General features: G+C 48.4%; 2 protein-coding genes across 4 annotated transcripts in view, besides 2 other annotated features; both read left to right on the top strand.

Moving 5' to 3' along the window:
- RANBP2 (RAN binding protein 2) overlaps positions 1-21,874 on the top strand; it is a 1,122,820-nt gene that overhangs the window by 620,048 nt on the left and 480,898 nt on the right. The window lies entirely within an intron of this gene.
- Positions 1-21,874, top strand: part of SH3RF3 (SH3 domain containing ring finger 3) — a 375,430-nt gene that overhangs the window by 210,325 nt on the left and 143,231 nt on the right. For all 3 annotated transcript variants that reach the window (NM_001099289.3, XM_011511109.3, XM_047444144.1), the window contains exon 2: positions 8,145-8,420. In NM_001099289.3, the coding sequence (NP_001092759.1) occupies positions 8,145-8,420 (276 nt within the window). The remainder of the gene's footprint in view (positions 1-8,144; positions 8,421-21,874) is intronic.
- Positions 8,030-8,275: a silencer, noted in NCBI's record as "fragment chr2:109964015-109964260 (GRCh37/hg19 assembly coordinates)". NCBI's record gives its function as "represses an EF-1alpha promoter that drives an FKBP-Casp9 reporter gene in an ReSE screen in HepG2 liver carcinoma cells {active_cell/tissue: HepG2}" and the evidence as "EXISTENCE:reporter gene assay evidence [ECO:0000049][PMID:32094911]".
- Positions 9,513-9,582: an enhancer, noted in NCBI's record as "active region_16362". NCBI's record gives its function as "activates an Ori minimal core promoter by ATAC-STARR-seq in GM12878 lymphoblastoid cells {active_cell/tissue: GM12878}" and the evidence as "EXISTENCE:reporter gene assay evidence [ECO:0000049][PMID:35858748]".

The following is a 21,874-nucleotide window of genomic DNA, read 5'->3' on the forward strand; positions in this document are numbered from 1 at the left end:
GGAAAGGTGGTAGATGGGGCCGACCAGGCATCAGCTGGATTCAGGCCCTGGAGGGTGCCTGGGTGGGGCTGCAGGGGTTGCCGGTAGCGAGGCCTTTGTTCCCTGGGAGGGATCAAGGAGCACTTTTCAAGGTGCCTGGTGGCTGCTGGGGACTTGCTCAAGTACTCCTCTAAGTACCCATTATCAGAACATGCCTGGGAACACTGCAAATACCAGCTCACAGCATGGGATCTCTTCCCAGAAAGTGAGGAAGTGAGCAATGCATCTCTGAATTGGATAAATGTAAACAGATCTGGACCCTCCTGGCCCAACGGATGACTGACCCACAGCTGCCCTTTCCCTTCCATAATTAAACAGATAATTATCAGGGCTCCACAGAGGCTTCCCTCGCCTTTTGGGGGAGTGAGGAGGAGGCAGGTGGTTGGAAGCTGGTTGCCCAGTTACACGCTTTGTGATGCTGAGGAATTTGCCCACCTTGCTACATTTTTCTCACTTATAAAAGGACTATAATTCTTATTTCACAGGAGTCCTGTGAGCAGTAATCGGGTTATCGGGAGTGTCTGGTGGGGAGTAGCAGCTAAATAATGGCTGAGTTACTTTGAGGGGGTGATGTGTGTAGCTGGCAGTGCACAGGTTGGGAGGTCAGACCACCTGGATCCAGTCCTGTCTCTCGGACCTTGGACAAGTTACTGGACCTCACTGTGCTCCAATTTCCTATCGGTAAAGTGCAGATAATATAAGGCCAAGCTCACAGGGTTGCTGTAAGGATCCTGTGGGTCTCGCAGGTAGAGGTAGGAGCAGCAGGCACACAGGAGGTGCTCAGGACAGGAAGGGGCAAGGTCTGGATGAGAGCCCCAGTACTGCTGGAACCCAGAGAAGCACATACCTCAACCCTGAGGGTGAGAGAAGGTTTACACCCAAGGACCATGCATTGGTTCTTTGCTGAATTCACTTATTCAGTGAATATGGGCAGATGCTGGAGGGGCGGTCCTCAGTTCTCCCATCTGACTTTTGCTGCAGTGCATGAGGAGGGATCACCACTGACCACTTCCTACACTTAGAAGCATCTGCCTTTCCTGGCCCCGGCACCCAGGGTCCTGGAACATCTGTTTGCCTCAGCAAGTAGTCAATGATCATTGTTTTTATAGCTCCTTTTTCATTAAGAGACACAAAGCTCTTTTCGTATCATCAGTTTTATTCTCAGCATACTAAGAAGCACGGAAGGGCAGATTTGATTATCTCTGCTTTATGGGAAAACTAAGCCCAAGGTACTTTGTCAAAAGGTGCATTCTAAGGCCACCACAGATGACCTAACCGCTGCTTTGATGCAACAGGGAAACAGGCCACAACAAAGTCTGGGAAAAGTAAAAAAAGGAAGAAAAAAAAAATTTGCTTTTAAATCCTCTCCAATCTGGCTGCAACATGAAAATGCTACAGGCAGCTCTTAGCTGTAGACAATTTATGTCTTCACAGTTGCATCCACGCAACAGCTTAGTAGTGGCCTCGTCACCCTGTGTTTGAAGGGCAAGTCGTGTTTTCATCCTTTGTCTTATTTCATCAATTCTTCATCAATTCTTGGATGAATGAGTGTGCAAATATGGGAAAGGAAGAAACTGACAGAAGAAAAGAGGGGACAAAACAAAAAGTTTGGACCCAACAAGCAGCTTTGAATGAGAAAAAGGGACAAAGGAACTCGAAATATAATTATCTGTAAAACAAAAACCTGGGAACCTCTGGTTGCAGTGTGATAACAGTAACAAACTTCTTCATCGCGGATTAAATCTATAAAGTGGAAGATGGGATACACTCTGGTAAATGCATTATTTAAAATAAGGTAAGGCCAAGAGTTGTGCCTTTTCTAAATCTGAGAGTCTCTGAGTTGAAAGTGCTTTTCAAAGATGACAGCACATAAATGATAACCCTCAACAGTGCTATGAAAGTCAGTGCCTTGGCTTGAAAAATGCTTACGAGCTAAAGAAATTGTAAATACACCTGAGACTTCCTGAGTGAGTCAGAATATAAGCTGAGCTGTGAATGAGATCCCAAAATGTGTTGGCTCAGATAAGATCAAGTTTCCTTTTTCTTACTTCATGGTATGGGGGTGTGTTCTGCAAGGTCACCCCAAGACCCAGGTTTCTTCCCCCTTTGCTCTGGGCATAATATTTGATGGAAAAACTGGCCCACCCTACTGTGTCTACCATGCAGCCCGTGGGAAGGCAGATTTCCTTATGCATGTCATCATAAAACATGCTCCAGAATGTGCAGGAATCACTTTCACTTGCATTCTGTGGACAGAAATGTGGACACCTACCCAGGGCTGCCTGCAGGCAAGGCTGGAAAATGAAGGCTTCTGCTGGAAGCTTGATCTCAGTTGAAATTTGGAATATTCTGACAGACAAAAGAAGCAGAAAGTGGGTATCAGGGGTCATTAGCTGTCTCTGACCCATTCTCAGACCCCGCAGTGCTTGGTGTGTATACAATTAGGGTCTCACCCGCCGGGGCCTATGGACGAATGTGTTCATCTTCCTGACACTTTTCTGCTGGCCACATGCTGTGCTATACAGGTCTGGAGACTGCAGGTGGGCAGACTCTGTGTCCATCTATAACTCTGGGCCTTTGCATGGGCTGAGCCCCTGGCTGGAATGCCCCACTTCTCATCAGCCATACCTGGGATTTTCCCCATTCCGCCAGGCCCAGCTGCTATTAGCAATAGGATCTTGGGCAACATGGACTGTGAATCTCATATTTTGGGAAAAATAATGGGCCAAATAGAGGCTGTGAGCCAAGGCCCCAGTCCCAGGGGACTGGTTTGCTAGTCTGTGTGTTCATTCGTTCAGTAGATATATGGAGCGTATGATCTGTGTCAGGCCAGCAGCGGAGCATCCAACAGTGAGCAAAACAGGCGAGAATCTGTCCTGATGGGCTAATTGTGAAGGGGGCCCTCCATTGAAAGCAGGTGGTGAGAGCCGTGACAAGTGCTCTCCTTGAAAGATTGCATCCTTAGGGTCTTAAACACAGGGAGCCGGTGCTCCACGCTCTCCACCCCAGCTTGCTGGGAGGTCTGGAATAGGCCAGTTGGGGTTGTGCCCTCCCGACGCTGCAGGCCGACTCTGGCACCCGCCCTTACTCAGGGGTACGGCTTGCCTGAGAGTCCCAACCAGGGGTGTCAGGAGCACATTCATTAGAGCCTGCTGCCACATGCCTGATTCCAGTAGAAGCCGGAGATGGCGCCGTTGTGCCCACGTGAGCGCCATCTCCACGGGTAGGACATTAAGTCCAGAGGAAGATGTGTGTGCCACATCTGAGTAATGAGCCATGAAATTGACATTATAAGTTTTAATTATTATTAATGCCTTGCAGGGGTGGCTGATGTTAATTGTCCTGTAGGCATCCCAGATGGGTTTTCCTTTTTTCTTTTATTTCTTTTTCTTAATGTCTTGAGCCCAAATAATGGCGGCTTAGTGACAATGTTTGAATGGAATTCCTCTGAAGGGGAGCACGCCGCAGTGTGAGAAGTTCTTCCAAACACGTCTGTGGGCAGAAAGCAAACAGGCTCTGGAGCAGCTGCCCACCCTCCTGGGTGGGTGTGGAGGCTGGGACATAGAGGCCTCCAGGTTGCTGCCGTGAAATCAGCAGAAGTCTTTTCTCCCCCATAATAGCATCTGCCTGCCTTAGGCCCCTTCCATGGACTAATTAGTTAATCTTATAAAGGGCTTTGAAGATGAAAGACTCTGGAGGTGCCGGGTGTCACCCATGTGAGCATTTCCTGATGAGATCCAGTTTCTGGCTGCTTCTGCTCCTCCAAATAAACTGCCTCTCGGCATCTTCCTTGACTCTTTTTTTTTTCTTTCCCTCAGAAATGTGTCCTGCATCTTAAAAAGGTTCATTCCCCCTCTTGGTTTTGCTCTGTCCAATCTGAGTCTGGCAGTCTGAGATGGGGATACAGGGGGCTCTCTTGCCTTCTCTCTCCCACCTTCTCTGTCCCCTACCCTTCCCCACTTCTCCTCCTGGCTCACCAGCCAGCAAGGCAAACAGGCCCCACCTGAGCCCCCATGCTCTCACAGCTTGCTTGCTCCGAGAATCATGCTCTCAGTACCAGACTCGAGCCCAGCAGGTGGGTTGGGGCCAGCAGGTGGGTTACCACCTGTGGAGAGGTGGCCAGGCGTACAATCTCCAGTCTGCCCCTGCTTCTGCCCTGCTCCTGCCCTGGTTTCCTTTTTTTTTTTTTTCTTAGACACAGGTTCTTGCCCTGTCACCTAGGCTGGAGTGCAGTGGTACGATCATTGCTCACTGCAGCCTCGAACTCCCAGGCTCACTCAGTTTTCTTGCCTCAGCCTCCCAATAGCTGAGACTACAGGTACTTGCCACCATGCCTATTTTTAAAAAATATTATTTTTAGAGATAGGGTCTCAGCGTGTTGCCCAGGCTAGCCTTAAACTCCTGGCCTCAAGTGATTTTCCATCCTCAGCCTCCCAAAGTGCTAAGATAATAGGCGTGAGCCACCATACCCGTCCCCAGATCCTTCTTTTGTAACTTTCCCCCCTGTATCCCCATCCAGGCCTGACTCAGGACTAACCTGAGTGCCTTTGAATTAACAGCATATAGAGGGGACCTGCTACGCAGGGAGAACACTCCTGGGTCCTGGGGTCATCAGAGTGAACAGCATAGTCTCTTCCTGGGGGCCTTAGTGGCGTAGAAGCTAAGGAATTAGGAAGGTGGCCGATGGAGTTAGGATGGCTGGTGAGTGGCTGATGGGTGCTGATGGAATTAGGAGGGCACAGGTGGTGACGGGGGAGCAGTGTGGATTTTGGAGGGAGTGAGAAGGGCAGAGGAAGTAGCATGGAGCTCTGTCTGCAAAGCCCTGCATGTTCCAGGTTCCAGAAGCACAGACTTCTCGTGACTGAGGATGCTGTCTGCCGTGGCTGGGCAGGTATGCTGAGGCCAGCGTAGGGGACCTCGGCTGCCGTGCCGAGGAGCTCGGATCCCCTGAGGTCATCAGGCAGACACTGAAGCTCATAAGCAGCAGGTGCATGAGCTTGGCCCTGCATTTGGGCATCCAGCCCATGACAGGCTGATGGGCCAGGAGACCACTGGAGGAGGTTTGCACTGGGTGCAAGGAGAGATGACAGGCAAGGCAGTGGGAGTGGGAGGGTGCACAGCCCTCTGGGTGAAAGCTCAGAAGTGGAGTTGGCAGGAGGAGTGCCCAGGCCAAGGGAAAGGGTGGGCACAGGGATGACTGAAGGTCCTTGCCGAGCAGCTGAGTGGGGATTTCATGGCCAGAGGAGGTAGGGCTGGAGGGACAGACAGCCTCTAGGAGCTTGCAGATGTCCAGCAGAGCCGTCAAGCAGGCATCTGGGTTCACATCAAGTCCCATGATCAGAGGGGACATCACAGGCACAGGTTGATTTGAGAGCCACTGGCACAGAGGCAGGTTTAGCTGGGGTCTGCATCAGTGAAGGGGGGTGTCAGGGAGGCCTGCAGGCCACAGTGCTGATACCAGTGAGGCCATGGTCCCTCTGGAGAATTCATGAAAGACAGAATCCCCGTGACTCAGGAGTGTGTGTCTCGCAGTGTCTCTGTCCTGGGTGGTGGCCTACAGCCCCAGGCTGCCTGGTGGAAGATGCCTCAGTCTCTCTGGCTCTGCACCCCAGCTTTACCTGCCACACTACCTAAGTTGGGGCCGCAGTTACACAATGTGGGTGTGAGTGGTGTCTTCAGGTGGCCTTTATGTCAACCAGTCTAGAGAAGGCTGATGGTGGGGAGGCCAGAAAGGAAACACAGTGTCCCCTTCTCGGGGGCATTGCAGGGAGATGTGTGTGCTCAGATAGCACGAGCCGGCCGCAGAAGGGAGTGCAGCGTGTAGGCAGGTGCAAAGCTGGCCCTTCCTGCCCACTGTTGTTACCAATGGTAGCAAAAGTCGCCAAACAGCCACCGAGTCTGTAGCTCTTATAACACGGCTTTTAAGCCTCACCCTTGTGGTTTGGGAATGAAGGGAAATGGAGTCATTCCCTGACAGATAAAGGTTTTTTGTGTGCATCTTGTTGAGGCTGGTTTTTCAACTTCAGAGCATGTTCTTTTCTTACATCCCTTCAAAACTGCTCGCCTTGATGGATATCTAAGTGTCTCCATGTAGCCAATAGTGAAAATACTCCCCTCATGAAAATAAATGTTATATTTAACTTTTAAAGTATTCGTAGACTAAGTTCTATTAGAACAGGGAACCTTACTCTGTCTTTTTTGTAAATTTAACCAAACAGGCTGGGCCAGGGTTTCTTAACCTGCTGATGGCTCTGGGCCAGGTCATTCTTTGTGGCAGAGGCTGTCCTGGGCATTGCAGGGTGTTTGGCAGTGTCCCTGGTCTTTACTTGTTACATGTTGGTAGCACCCCACCTTCCGGTTGTGATAGCCAAAAAATATCTTCAGACCAAATTGTCCCAAATTAAGATTCCCTGGCTGGCGGCTGAGTGGCCCCTGTGTGGCAGTGGAATTATTCTGATGGCCTGCAGCCAACTGCCCCTTCCCATTTTTTCTGATCACAGTGCTTGTCTTGCAAATTACCCCTTGCCTCCGCTCTCTAAAATTGGGGCTCGTTACACACTATTGTGCTCGCACTACAAAGCTATCCAGAATGAGTATTATTGGAAGCAAACGGATTTTTTTTTTCTCTTCGAGTTCTGCAATGAAAAATCCTCTGGTGTTACTGTTTAATTGGTTAGTGGTGGCTGTTTGTCAATTTGCCAGCAGGCTCTCTCTTAACTGCTGTCGTTTGACGTTGCTGAAACATAAATGTAGAATGATTGAGTTGCCAACATGCTATTAAGTCCTCTACAAAGAGTTTTTCGATGTACTACTGCTTCAGGCTTTTGTGCTTCTATTGATTGATTCGAATACTGAAGAACTCCTTGGCATAGGCAGCCCTGGTGAGAAAATGCGGCTTCTGGTAGGAAAATCGTTGGGTATTGACACCCGAACAATGCAAAGCTTTCCTTTGGTTTTCCTCTAGCACAGGATTGACCTCTGGCAAAGCTCCCACAGTTGAGCAGGTATTGGCCACCCATAAAGGAAAAGGAGAGAGGCCCATGAGGCCAGATGGACTTGATGAGACAGGGCCAGTTAGAGAAGCCCAGGAAGTGGAAGAAGACATCACATCAGTTTCCGGATTCTTTGACAGGCTCCTTATTGCTGACAAGCAGAAGCAGCTTAGAATCTTGTTTGGATTTCAGAGCTAGTCACGGTTTGAGACCGAGGATGGCAGAACAGGTGCAGATGGGTTGGTTAACCTCTGACGGATACAAGAACATCACTGTTAGGAGGATACAGTCTTATGCCCTTGAACAATTGTACTTCTGGAACAGACTGCTACAAGTACATGCAGCAGAAAGCTGTGTGTCATGGTGGGGGGGTCTGTGATGGCCGGGGACTGCTTGTTAGAACCCCTGCTCCTGGGCATGGCCCCTGTGCTCCACACAGGCTGTTTGTCATCATCCTCGTGTGTGTACCGCTGGCCATGAGTCCTCTGAGTGGAACGCTCAGCACGACGGATGCCATGCACGCCTGCTGCTCAGCTTCAACCCCTGGAGCATGCTCGAGTTGCTGTGACTATTCAGTAGATGAAGTAAAGAAAAAATGGTTGGATACTTGCTAGAAGTCTGGCAGCTTCTTAGACTAAAATCCCTGAGAAATAGGAGCCAGTGGAAAATGATTCAGCATAGAGTATTGAGTAAGAAATTCCGAGCCCAGACCTCCTGGGTTCAGATTCTACCTACTGCTCCTAGGTGTGGGCCTTAGGAAAGTCACCTTCCCTCTCTGTGCCTCAGTGTCCCCATCTGTAAATGAAGACAAGCCAGCACCTACTTCAGAGTCCTTTTTGCACAGAATGAGGTTGTCTGTGTGGAAGGCCTCAGACAGTGTCCTTTTTAGGAGGAATGGCTAGGATGGGGACCCTCTTATCTCAGTGGCGCCTCAGAATGTGCATGTTCCTGTGACAGGCTGTTTCTTTAAAATATTTTCCACTTGCGGGGCACTCTGTATGCACCCCCAGGACACAGAAAGCCCCTGAGAAGCCCCGGCCTGCCCCGGCAGATCCACTGTGGGGCATTGGGAAGGGGCATGCCCGGTGACCACATGCTGTCTGTTGCTTGCAGAATCCCTGCCTGCTTCCCTATGGCAAGGCCCTCTACAGCTACGAGGGGAAGGAACCTGGTGACCTCAAGTTCAACAAGGGGGACATCATCGTCCTGCGGCGCAAGGTGGATGAACAGTGGTACCACGGCGAGCTGCACGGCACACAGGGCTTCCTCCCAGCCAGCTATATCCAGTGCATCCAGCCCTTGCCACACGCCCCGCCCCAGGGAAAAGCACTTTATGATTTCGAGATGAAGGACAAAGACCAAGACAAGGACTGTCTGACCTTCACCAAGGTAAGGTGAGCCCCGGGGTGGGCCCCGCCAGCCCATGCAGCCTCTGTGCCACCCAGGGCTCTTCCCAGCCACAGACCTATAGCCAGACAGTCTTTCTTCAGAGTCTGAATCCTGGCTCCTCCCGGAACCCTGGGCAAATGACCCAGCCTCCCTCCCTGTGCTTCCATGAATGGGGTGATGGTTTTTTTTGGTTGAATGCTATGGAGGGCACCAGCTTGACACACAGCTCCAGCCCAGAGCTACATAGGAGCTTGAGATAATATAAGCCTCCATCAGCACCAGGAGCAGAACCCTCAGTTAACCTGAGTCATGGCTCTAAGCGCTGACCCAGGTGCAGCAGAATGACGCCTTTCCAGGACTCTTGGGGTCCTGTGAGAGGGGCTCATCAGGGGAAACTGCTACAGAGACCCTGGTCAGCTCACAGGGAGATGATAGCTGGGGTCTCACATCTGTGCATCACAGCCCTGTCCTCTAGGGCACCTGAGGCAGGGCCACCCTGGTGCGTAGGGATCCCTGTGAAGCAAACATTTGGGAGCAAACAAAATAGCACTGACAGGTGAAATTGAGTAGGAGGGTTGGGTGAGGTGCAGAAGAGACTGGTTCTGGCTGTCCTGGCAGTTGCTGTTGAATAATCATCTGCACCAAGTGCTCGGCCAATAAGCTCACACTTGGTCTTTACAGCTGTCCCAGGTTCCAGGGGAAGTAGTTGGAACCTCGTTTTCTCCATGTGTAAACCAAAGCTCTGAGAGGCTTTGTAACTTATCCAGGCTGCTTGCTGGGTCCTCTCTCCCTCCTGCTTCCCCTTCCTCCTTTCCATCTTCATCTCCTGTCTCTTGTGTCTCCTCCATCCCCTGCCACTGCTGCACCTGCTCCCCGCCGCCCCCAGATGTAAATGACAGAGCCAGAATCCTAATGCAGATCTCTGATGTTAACACTCAGCATTCTTCCCACCTCCCTACACAGGGAATTCTTCCCTTATGTCGGCCTCACTGTATTTTAGATGCCCAGAAGTTGTTGTTTTCTCTCTCCTCACTCGTTCTGTCTTGCCTGTGTCTCTCTGTGTCAGTATTTCTCTCTCTCTCTCTCTCACACACACACGCACAGAGTTGTAAATAACAGAACTAGAATTCTAACTCGAATCTCTGCTTCTAAAGCCCACATCCTTCCTGCCTCTGAGAGGCCATTGCTCTCTCCCCCATCTGCTGAGTGCAGAGCTCGAGGTGGCACTCTCTGGAGGGCGGTAGGAGAACCATGCACAGTGTTTTTGAGCAAAATTGGCATGTCCTGCGTACAGCTGCTATTTATGTCTTGTTCTATTGTTCAGCCTGACAATGAATAATCTATTTTTCATTCAGGGATTCAACTCCTTCTCCCTTCCTTTTATCAAGGTGTTCTGATGCTAATTCCGATTGTCATCTGGCTGCACAGCTTCCCGGGAAACTGCACTGGTGCCTCCCTCCCTCCCCACTCAGTCGGAGGGCGAGAGCAACAGCTTCCTGGGGCTATTTTTAGGCACACAGAAACCCAACTTGCTTCTCTGCCCAGTGGACTCTTCCCCCTAAGAGAAGACCTGGGACCACTGGTGCCCCAGGTGGTCACTCATGACCAAGAGCAGGGACCTCTGAACTCTCAGGGTCCGGTCAGGGCCTTGCTAAGGAGACAGACCCCATAATGGCTCTAGGCTTCTCCAGGCTTGGCGGGCTCCAGGCTGCAGAGCCGAGGCCCTCCTCCAGGGGCCTCACAGGAGGAGGCTCTCCACTCGGGAGAACCCACTGTGAACGGGCTGTCGCAGGGCCCTGGAGCCTCTGGGTAGGCCTGCTTCTCTGGGCAGAAGTGACTGCCTGCCTTTCCTGTCATCACCATATAACCTGCTGCATTCCACGGGCCTCTGCCCAGGATGTGCAACCCCAGGCTGAAGGCTAGAGCCCACTGGACAAGAGGACAAAGGGCACCTGCCCATTTATTCCACAGAAACATACCGGGCCCTGACTCTGTGTCGGGTACTAGACCTGCTGCTCTTCTGGAGCCCAGAGTCAGGTGCGGGAGACAGGCCAGTGGAGAATGTGCAGAAGACAGGCCAGAGGCTCACGAGCTGCATCGGATCACCAGGGGCAGGCCGGGCATTTAGTGTGGGCTCCTGAGTAGTCAGTGATGGAATTCCATGTTCCATATTTCACAAGAAACAGTGAAATTAGAGCCATCAGGCTTAGACTCATTCTGCGGTTGGCATGTGGGGTGGGGGTAGCCGAGCAGGGGTCCATCTGTTCCCAAGTGGGCAATGTCACCATGGCTGCCCAGGCTCTCTGGAAGGTGACCTCTTGGTTGAATTGAGGTCAGAGGCGCCAGCCACGGGAGGCCCAGCATCTCCTGTTACAGGATCTGTGACGGCTCCCACAGCAGACAAGGGGGAAGTGTCATATCACAGATTCTTTGTTCAAGGACTTTCTTTACTTGAATCCTGTGAGTTAATGTGGAGAATTAGAGGCCTCTGGGTGTGATCCCCAGAGGGACTTGTGCTGTGACACGACCTTCCTGCCATGCTCCTATGCCCACTTTGACCCTCTGACCCCCAAAGGGCGAGGTCGGGCAGAGATTGGCCACCCCTGCTACCTGTTCTGTCCTGTTGCATCTCTCACTCCTCAGTGTCCGCAAATAAAGGCTCCAAGAGACATGGGCAACTCCATGTGACTCTCCGCTCAGTTCCTGTTTTCCCCCACGGTGGGTCCGACCCACCTTACTTCCCCCATGCCTGGCATGCAGCTGAGACGCACACACTGGCTCTGACAACCTCCATGTGAATCAGACCTCCAGGAACCAAATGATTCCAGTGCTGCAGCGTAGGTGCTGGTTCATGCCAGCTTGGTCTCCCCTCTGGGGAATGTTTTTATTCTTTGGATATGTTCCATTCCTGAGTCAGAGAGGAAAGAAGGGTCTCTGAAAGCTACAATGGTATAACCTGCCTTTATACAGCATCACTGTGGCAGACTGATGGAGTTTAAATTAGGTGGATCAAAGCAAGATTTTTACCTTTGGTGTTTGCTTTTGAATAGTCCTGTTAAAGTGGCATTAATTAAAGTCCTTCTAAAATCTAGTTTCTGCTTTATTTCAGAAGAGAATGAATAATCAGTTTTTGTAAAGCAGCTTTAAAAAGTGATATTTTATTACTTCTTAGTAGCCCGACTCCAGAAAGCTGGGCATGTGCAAATAAAAAGACGACAGGCAGGAAGAGCTGTGGGCCCAGCTCTGCCAGCTGGTTTCTGAGGAGCCTCCACACGTGCTGGGCCAGTCACCCGGGAGGGGCTGGCCTTGGCAGGGCCTTGCAGTGAGGGCCCCATGCCAGCTGTGTGACTTAGGGTGACACATAACCTTTCTGGGCCAGGAGCACCTCGCCTTCCCAGTCTCAGGATGCCAGTGTGCACTCTGTGGTGTGCTGAGAACCACATGATATAAATAAATTGTGGAGCCTAGGGCTGGGAGTGCAGGAGAAGAATGTGAACTACTCCATTGTTTGAGCAGCTAACTCTATATTGTCTTACTCAGCTCACCTGCAAGATTCGGCAAGGGTTTATTGAACCTCTTCTCTGTAACTTTCAGTTAATGAAAACATTGTGGTCGCCTTGCCAGGCAGCTGCATTTGCTATGCAGGGCCCACGCTGCTTTTCATGAGTTCCAGCTGGGATGCTCAGGAATCCTCAGAGGCCACGGGGTTTTCTCAGAGAGTGCCCGCTGATCATGGAATCACTTTTGCACATGACTGCAGCGGGGCCCCCAGGCTTGCCATATCAGCCCTAATCCCTACCAGGTGTGCCATGTGAAGGAGCCACAGGGCTTGGTGGCTGCAGCCACTGTGCTGTCCTAACCCTCATCTCACCCTCGATTTGTCCTGATCTGGTCAGACCTTAAGACTCTTCCATGTGACCTTCTTATGCTGCTGAATGTTTAATCATTTCTCAAAAGTATGGGAAGTCTTACCTTTGTGAATTAACCTAGCATTAATTCCAAACTCTGCTCCTCTGATCCTAGGGACAGACATAGATGGATAAAAATCAAATATAGAGTTCAGGCTCTAGCATGAGGTAGACACAGATTCAAATCATGGCACGTTTCTTTAATAATGCATGGTGACTCGAACATTTACTTAGTGTTTGAGTTGCTTTTTTTAACTTTAAATGGAGTTGATATTAGGATTACATGAGCAAAGGCATTTTAAAACCCAAGCTCAAAATAGGCATTCCAATAAATATTTGCTGTCTGCCCTCTCCTTTCTTCCTGTCTCAGGAAAAGTTGCACTTCCGTCAGATGGTACATATCACTTTTTATGTTAGCCCAGAATACTCGCAGGAAAGTAAGCCTCCCTCCTAAAGACAGACTGCATGGAGAATGAGAACTTGCAGGACTGGTCTGCTATGCTTTTACTTTCCTGGTGGCTAAATCTCAGAGAGGATTGCCTGGGGGTAGCGGAGCTGAGCCCCTTGTGTGGAGGCCACGGTCCCCTCACCAGCAGAGCCAGGCGATGGGCAAGCTTCCAAATTTGCAGTGTCGTCTCTGCTTCTTCCTGACTGAGAATTGGGATGACTTTGGGGGCCGAGACGATGAGGAAACTTTAGCTTTACCTCTTTTTGTATCATGAGATAAGCTTGTGCGGAGCTCCACGTCGTTCTCTCCCTTCCTGGGCACCCCGCTTGGGCTACTTTACCCTGAAGTTACCCGAGAAACTCAGGGAACCAGTTCTCCTTTTTGGCTCCTTGCTTCGTGGATTTCTCCTCCTAGGCTCAGTGCACCTGCAGCCACCTCTGTGCACAATGATGCCTCCCACGAAGGAGGCTCAACTCGCAGGGCACGGGGCAGAGGGGAGCAGAGCACCCTCTTAGCCACTACAGACCACCCTCGCCCAGCCCCTTCTGACAGCAAAGGGAGTTTGGATAAACTGCACAGATAACCGTTTTGATTTGCAGGCAAAGCTTGGGCTGTATCTGAAGCTTTGCCAGAAATTTTCAGAACCTACACAGAATGTGAGCTCCTCTCCATGGGCACGCCTGGCTCCTGGGAGCAGTCCTGGCCCTGGCCGCTGCAGCTGCCCCACCTGCTCTCCACTGGGTGCCAGATCCACCTCTCAAATCTGTGCCACATGGAGCCTCTGCTCAGAGTCCTCAGTGGCTCTCCACCTGTCCCGGAGTCATGGCAAAGTTGGTGCTGCCCACAAGGCCCCACCTCACCCAGTCCTTGCTCCCTCAAGGGCCTGATCCACTTCTGGCCCCCGGCTCATTGCCTGCCCAGCTGCACTGGCCTCCTGGTGGGTTCTCCCTGCAGCCGAGCCCACTGCCTCCCTGGGCCTGCATGGCTGCCTTCCTTAGCCTGGGTGCCCCCACACATTTATAGCTCGACCCTCGTCCTCAGCAAATCTCTGCTGGAGGTGGGGGCTACCCTCTCCCGCTGTGGGAGGGAGCACCCCACACTGAGACTCCCTGTCCACACCCTTTCTCCTGAGAGGTAGGTGTTCATAGTCACGTGACACCGCCTGCCTGAGGGTGGGTTGAGACCCCACCACCGCCTGGCCCCAACATAGGGCAGCAAGGGGCGCCTGGAGGGACGTGGAGGGAAGCCCTAACAGTGGAGTGGGGTGCCCTGTGTCACCTGGCCAGGGCTGGCAGGCCTGCTGGGTGAGAGTGCCTCTGTCTCCTCACCCAGGCTTCTTGGTCCATTCCTTCACTCTTCAGATGTTTATCAACCCTAGACTGCGTGCCCAATGCCAGGGATGCTGTGGAGTGCACTGCCCTTAGGCACTCAGAACCCAAAGACGTGGAGACAAGACGAGAGAGTCTCCCCTGCCCGTGTGTGCATGCGTGTGTCCGTGTGCAGTGGGAGCTGCCGGCAGTGAGAGGGTGTGATCTCTGACATCTCTTCCACCTGTGGCCGCAGGTTCCCCTCAGCCCTCAGACCCCCTGAGGGGCCCCTGCCTCCCTCTGGAGTTCAGATACGTGAACACGATGGGAACACCAGAGGAAGCCCCTAGATGCTCTGGAAAGTCAGAGCCCCCCGAAGTCTCAGTGACAGCAGGACAAAGATGCAGGGCCAGCCCGCTAGGTGGGGGAGCTGATGGTGGCTAACAGTTCCATAAGTGCCCCACCATAGATGGCAGTCGGCTGTCAGAGGCACAGTTTTGGGTTATTTCTGCACCAAAAGGCTGAGGGAGTTTCTGAACTATTCCCTTTTTAATTTTCCCTTCTCCCTGCGACACAGAGTGGGTTGGGCCCTGTGTGTGTGGCTGACCTGTGTGCCGCCAACGGATACTGCCTGTGTCAGGCTGGGTCACTGCGGTGGAGCAGGCAGCCCATCACCCTGCAGGCCCAGAGGCTGAAGGGGGCCCGGCAGGGTCAGGGGCCTTCTCTGGGCTCCAGCTTGTTATTGCTTCTAGGAAACCACTCGACTGCATGTGAGCCAGAAAAGTGGCGCAGCGTTCATGTGGCCTCCAGGAGAGCAGGGCTGTGGGCCACTCATGGCCAGGCAGGGACTGCTTCTGGCATTTTACATGTGATTCTTCCACACAGTTGACTTAGGAGAGGGAAATCTTAGGCACTGGATGTGGGTTTATCCAGAGCTGCTGAGGGAGCTCTCCAAGGTTTTCAGTGATCGTGGCATTTCATGCTGAGCTCCCAAATGCCTGATATGTGAGCTGCGATATTTGCCAAGATGTGCCTTTGTAGTGGTGTCAAAGGGCAGTGTGCTCCGCCAGCCACCTCCAGTGGCATCCTAAAGGGACAGGGAAGGCGAGCGTCGGCACCCTGCCCCGCAGCCTCTGTTCTTCACAAAGGCGCATCTGTGTCTGTGGCTTTCCTTCTCCCCAGGTGGAAGTGAAAACACAGACTTTGGAAGAGCTAGTAAATGAGTTTAAAATGCACTTTAAAGACTCCTTGTAGATGGCAGGTCCTACCATGTCACCTGAATCCTTTGTGAATGTAGTATTTACGAAGCTTAGGAAGAAAGGTGATATAGTTTTTTAGTAACCACTTTATGTTCATAGCTCAGGCTTACACTTAGGAAGAAAGGTGATATAGTTTTTAGTAACCACTTTATGTTCACAGCTCAGGCTTACAATCCTTTAGGACCACCCTGAGACCACCTGAATACAAAGGAGAGCCACTGCCATATGGTAACGGCATTTGGTGTATTTTCAAAACTTGGAAATACCAGGGAATAGGGAAAACAGCATATGAAAGTCTACGGGCCCACAGTGAGTAATGAGCACTTGACATGAAACCTGTAAACGAAATTGAGCTTTGTATCTGAAAGAGAAATTATGTTGTGGAAACAAGTTTCATTCATAAAATTCTTGAATGCTGGCATATTGGCCCAGGAACTTGTCTGCTTCATCTGACTCTTGGTGATGCCTGTGGTTTCTGGTTTGGTTTAGTTCACTCATCTACATCAAGCAAGGGTTGGTGGACTAGGACTCTCTGACCAAATCCTGCCTGCCAACTGTTTTTGTAAATAAAGTTTTATTGGTACACAGCCATAATTCATGTATGCATAACTGCTGTCATGCTACAATGGAGGGTTGAGTAATTGACCTACAACTCCTGAAATAGTCTCTGGCTCTTTCTAGAAAACGTTCCTGACCTGTGACATAGAGCACAGCACTATCAGGGCCAAGGGCACAGGTGTTGTCCCTGTATGCTCCCTTCAGCGTGGCTTTCCTCTTCGGCCATTGGGAGCCTCTGGTATTGAGTGTGCATCTGTTGGGAAACAGTGAGTGGAGACCCTGGGGACGCCCTCCTCTGTGAAGCAGCAACTTAACACGCAGGTCCATGCCATGCGGATCAGTCTTGCCGTCTTCATATACAAAGCCCATTTGGTGTTTTGAGGAGGGGTATTTCTCCATATACTAATGAGTCTGTGAAGCAGCTATTTCCTCCTTCCTTGTCCTTCTGAAAGCAATGGCTCCAGGTTTTTGTAACATGAGGACAAATCAGAGTCCTGTTGTGATCTAGCCATGAAAAGTTGCCATTGTTTCCCTGGTCCTGCATTGGGGGTGGAGAATCATTATTGTTTCCAGAACACACCAGATTTATGCTGGTAGCCCTAACATGCTACAGTGAATGTTTTCATTGCCCAGCACTCAAACATTCCTCTTTGGAGGTTGTAATTATTGTGGGAGTTTGGGTTAGAGGCAGAGCTGGGGAAACCTTCCTTGACATTCTTAGAGTTAATTATGGATTTTTAGGTACAGGGAGTGGCTGACTTCCTGCACCCCAGTATTTTCCCAGCCCAGCCTCTACACCAAAATGACTGCCAACTAAATAGGAACATTCTAGATCCCACCGCCCTCCTGAGGTCCCACACAGCCACAGAAACCAGAATTTCCCACATTGATATTTGAGCCAGAAGAGATGCCTGCTGCCAGGTGCCACCACACTGCAGCTAGGTCTATGTTGGACTTGCCTCTCTAGCCAGATGGAGCCATGGCAGGGTCCACTGCTCATTCACTAATCTCACAGTAGCACGACACTCGACATGCTTGGGTTTTAGATGCCACATATGGCAGCCTGGTGGGGTTTTCATGTGCTTTCTCAATACCAGATGCTGACCTTCTCTTTACCACAGGCCCCCTCCTCCTCCTTGGGAGGGGATAGTTTCTTCCTCAGCCAAAGGCCCATCCCAGGGCTTGGCACTTAGGAGATGCTTGAATATATTGGTGACGTGATGAGGAGCAACCTGACCCTGCTGAACACTAGTAGTGATGGCCAACTCCTGGCCTGTGAAGTACACCCATCTTTGGACAGCCCTGCCTCACAGGGAGCCTGCCCACATTGCAGTAACATGGGGTCCTTGGTGCAAATCCCACCCTCCTGGGTGACTGAAAATAAGCCTGGTTCTTCAGCATGGTAATGATGTCAAAGCTTAAAGACATGATCACGGCCCCCACAGCGCTCTCACTTCCCAGGCTGAGCCATCCCACCTCCTTCCCTGGCTTGCCATGACTCGGTTCTGGACTGTTCCGTGATGGTCCACTTCTGCAGCACAGATGTCCTGTAGAGACATGCTAGCACTGAATGCAACATTCAAGGCATGCTGCTGCTTGTCCATACTGGATAGACTGTTACCTTTTTAAAATTTTTTTTTATTATGTTATATATAATATATATTTAATACTTATACATAACATATCAGAAAGTTCACTAATCATAATTATGCAGCTTGATGATTATCACAAACAATATATTCTTGTTTTTTGTTTTTTGGTTTTTTTTTTGAGACGGAGTCTTACTCTGTCGCCCAGGCTGGAGTGCAGTGGCACGATCTCGGCTTGCTGCAAGCTCCGCCTCCCAGGCTCATGCCATTCTCCTGCCTCAGCCTCCCGAGTAGCTGGGACTACAGGCACCCACCACCATGCCCGGATAATTTTGTGTATTTTTAGTAGAGACGAGGTTTCACCGTGTTAGCCAGGATGGTCTCGATCTCCTGACCTCGTGATCCACCCACCTCGGCCTCCCAAAGTGCTGGGATTACAGGCGTGAGCCACCGCACCCGGCCAACAGAATATATTCTTACCTAGTGATGAAATGATGGATACTGGGGCTCCTGTGCCTCTGACAGTTACCAGCCCGCCCTTCCCGCATGTCTACTAACACTACAGATGAGTTGTGTTTGCTCTTGACCTTCACATCAAGGAATCACGCAGGATTTATTTTTGTGTCCAACTTTGTTTTCTCTCAGTTTTATATTTGTGAGCTATACCCATGTTGTTGTAGGGCACTGTAGTTTGCTCATTTTCATTGCTCTGTGGTGCTATTTTAGATTTTTAAAAAATAGGTGTTATATTTTTAGAGCCGTTGTAAGTTCACAGCAAAATTGAGCAGAAGATACAGAGATTTCCCATAAACCTCTGCCCCTACATGCAAAGCCTCCTGCATTGTCAACATCACTCACCAGAGTTAGTGCATTTGTTACAATCAATGAGCCTATATTGACAAATCGTTATTACTCTAAGCCTATAGTCACTCTTGGTGCAGAGTCTACTGATGGAGATGTCATGTATCTACCATTATAGGCCCATACAAAGTAGGTTCACTGCCCTGAAAATCCTCTGACCTGTCTATCCATCCCTCCCTCCTCCACCACCCCTGGCAACCACTGACCTTTGTACTGTCTTCATAGTTTTTCCTTTCCCAGAACGTCATACGGTTGAAATCATACAATATGTAGCCTTTTCGTAATGGTTGCCTTCACTTAGCAATTTGCATTTAAGGTCCTTCCATGTCTTTTCATAGCTTAATAGCTCATTTCCTTTTTTATCATTGAGTAATATGCCATTATCTGGATGTACCACAGTTTGTTTATCCATTCACCTACTAAACGACATCTTGGTTACTTCCATGTTTGGGTAATTATAAATAAAGCCACTCTAAACATCCATATGCAGGTTTTTGTGTGGACATAAGCTTTCAGCTCCTTTGGATAAATACTAAGGAGTGTGATTACTAGTTTGCATGGTAAAAGCATGCCTAGTTTTGTAAGAAATTTCCAAACTGTGTTCCAAAGTTGCTGGGCCATTTTGCATTTCTGCCAGCCGTGAATGAGCGTTCCTGTTGCTCCACATCCTCATCAACACACTACACACTACACTGTCTTCTTTGGTGAAGTGTCTTCTTTGGTGAAGGTCTTTGACTCACCATTCAATCAGACTGTTTTCTTGTTGTTGAGTTTTAAGAGTTTTTTGTGTATTTTGCATAATAATCCTTTATCATAGTTGTCTTTTGATAATATTTTCTCCCAGTCTGTAGCGTGTCTTCTCATTACCTTGACAGTATCTTTTGCAGAGTACAAATTACTAATTTTAATGAAGTCTAACTTATCAATTCTTTCTTTTGTGGATCATGCTTTTGGTGCTATATCCAAAAAGTCATTGCCAAACCCAAGATCATCTAGATTTTCTCCTACATTATCTTCTAGGAGTTTTGTAGTTTTATATTTTACATTTAGGTCTGTGATCTATATTGAGTTCATTTTTGTGAGGGGTGGAATGTTTATTTCTAGATTTTTTGCATGTGGATGTCTAGTTTTCCTACCACTGTTTATTTTAAAAACTATCTTTTCTCCATTGTATTGTCTTTGTTCCTTTGTCAAAGATCAGCTGACTGTATTTATGTGGGTTTATTTCTGGGTGCTCTCTTCCATTCCATTGATCTAGTTGTCTATTGCATTGCCAATGACAGACTGTCTTCATTATTGTAACTTTATTTTCAGTCTCGAAGTCATGTAGTGTTGGCCCTTGTTCTTCTCCTTCAATATTTGTTGGCTCTTCTAGGTCTCTTGCCTCTCCATATAAACTTTAGAATCAGTTGGTCAATATTCACAAAAGAACTTGCTGATACTTTGATTGAGATTGTGTTAAATCTATACAACAAGTTGAAAAGAACTGACATCTTGACAATATTGAGTCTTCCTATCCATGAACATGAAATATCTATTTGTTTAGTTCTCCTTTGATTTCTTTCATCTGAGATTTTTAATTTTCCCTATATACATCTTGCACATATTTTGTTACACTTATACTTAAGTATTTCATTTGTACCTAAGTATTTCATGATACCATTTACATTTATACCTAATGTAAATTGTATCATGTTTTAACTTAAATTTCATTTGTCCATTCCTGGTACAGGTTGAGCATCACTAATCTGGAAACTTGAAATCCAGAATGCTCCAAAATCCAAAATTTTTTGAGCACCAACATGATGCTGCAAGTGGAATATTCCACACCTGACCTTATGTAATGGGTTGTAGTCAAAATGAAGGCACACAACACACAGTTTCTTCAGCATCCTCAAGGGAAAAAAGACCCTCCCAGGCCCCTTCAGCTGTGATATTTATTTTCCACACATGCCCAGATTCCCCCATGCAAGCACAACCATAAAGGGTCATAAAATGGCACATGTGTAGGCTGCACATGCCAATGGCAGGTTCTCCACGTGAAAAGAGAGATTTCTATGACCATTGTTGATGAGGCAGATGACTGCAGAAAAATATTTTTAAAAGCCATCCAGCAGAATGTTTCCTCATCCACAGAGGACCCACTTACTGGTCCCTTAACCACTTCTGATGTTTCCTTGCACCAAAAAAAAAAAAAAAAAAGTATACACTTACCTTTTAATCAAAGCACAGCATCATAGGTAGAGACTGAAAGCCTGCCATTGTTTGTTGTTGCTGTTGTTTAACAGCTGATACAGGTATTCTGGAGAGGCTACTGTGCCGCTTAGTTACTCTGAACATGTAATTTTTTTCACTGTATTAATAATATGTCATATTTTTTACTGCTAAATACTTATGTGTGAATAATTGTAAGAAAATGATTGCTTATTGGTAGCATATAAATCCAGAGTCAGAAGTGAGGCTGATGCCAAACAACCACAGATGGTCCGCATGGGTGATACCCTTTGCTTTTTGTAGGCTCGATGTACACAAACTTTGTTTCATGCACAAAATTATTAAAATGTTGTATAAAATTACCTTCAGGTTGTGTGTATAAGGTATATATAAAACACAAATGAATTTTGTGTTTAGACTGGGGTCCCATACCCAAGATATCTCATTATGTATATGCAAATATTCCAAAATCTGAAAACATCTGAAGTCCAAAACACTTTTGGTCTCAAGCATTTCAAATAAAAGATACTCAGCCTGTATATAGGAAAGCAATTGACTTTTGTATATTAGCCTTGTATCCTGCAACCTTGCTATAATCAAGTATTAGTTCTAGAAGTTCTTCAGTTGGTTCTTTCAGATTTTCTAAATAGATGATCATGTCATCTGTAAACAAAGGCAGTTTTATTTCTTCCCTCCCAATCTGTACACTTTTAATTTCCTTTTCTTGTCTTATTGTATTATCAAATATTTTTAGTATGATGTTAAAAAGCAGGGGCAGAGAGTACATTCTTGCCTTGTCCTTGATCTTAGTGGGAAAGTTTAAAGTTTCCCACCATTAAGTTTCTCGTAATTAGGTGAACTGTAGGTTATTTGTAGATGTTCTTTATCAAGTTGAAGAAGTTCCCCTCTATTTGTAGTTTACTGAGAGTTTTTATCATGAATGGGTATTGGATTTTGTTAAAAGCTTTTTCTGTATTTACTGATATGAGCATGTGATTTTTCTTCTTTAGCCTGTGGATATGATAGGTTACATTTATTGATTTTTAGATGTTGAGCCAGCCTTGCATACCTGGGATAAATTCCACTTGGCTGTGGTATATAATTCTTTTTATACCTTGTTGGATTAAATTTTCTAATATTTTGTTGAGGATATTTGCGTTTATGTTCATGAGATATATAGGTCTGTAATTTTCTTGCAATGGCTTTGTCTGCTTTGGTATTAGGGTAACGTTAACCTCATAGAAGTTAGGAAATATTCTTTCTGCGAAGTATTGAGATTGTAGAGAATTGGTATAATTTCTTCATTTATA

This window comes from Homo sapiens, chromosome 2 (assembly GCF_000001405.40).
Source record: "Homo sapiens chromosome 2, GRCh38.p14 Primary Assembly".
Taxonomy (NCBI): Eukaryota; Metazoa; Chordata; class Mammalia; order Primates; family Hominidae; genus Homo; species Homo sapiens.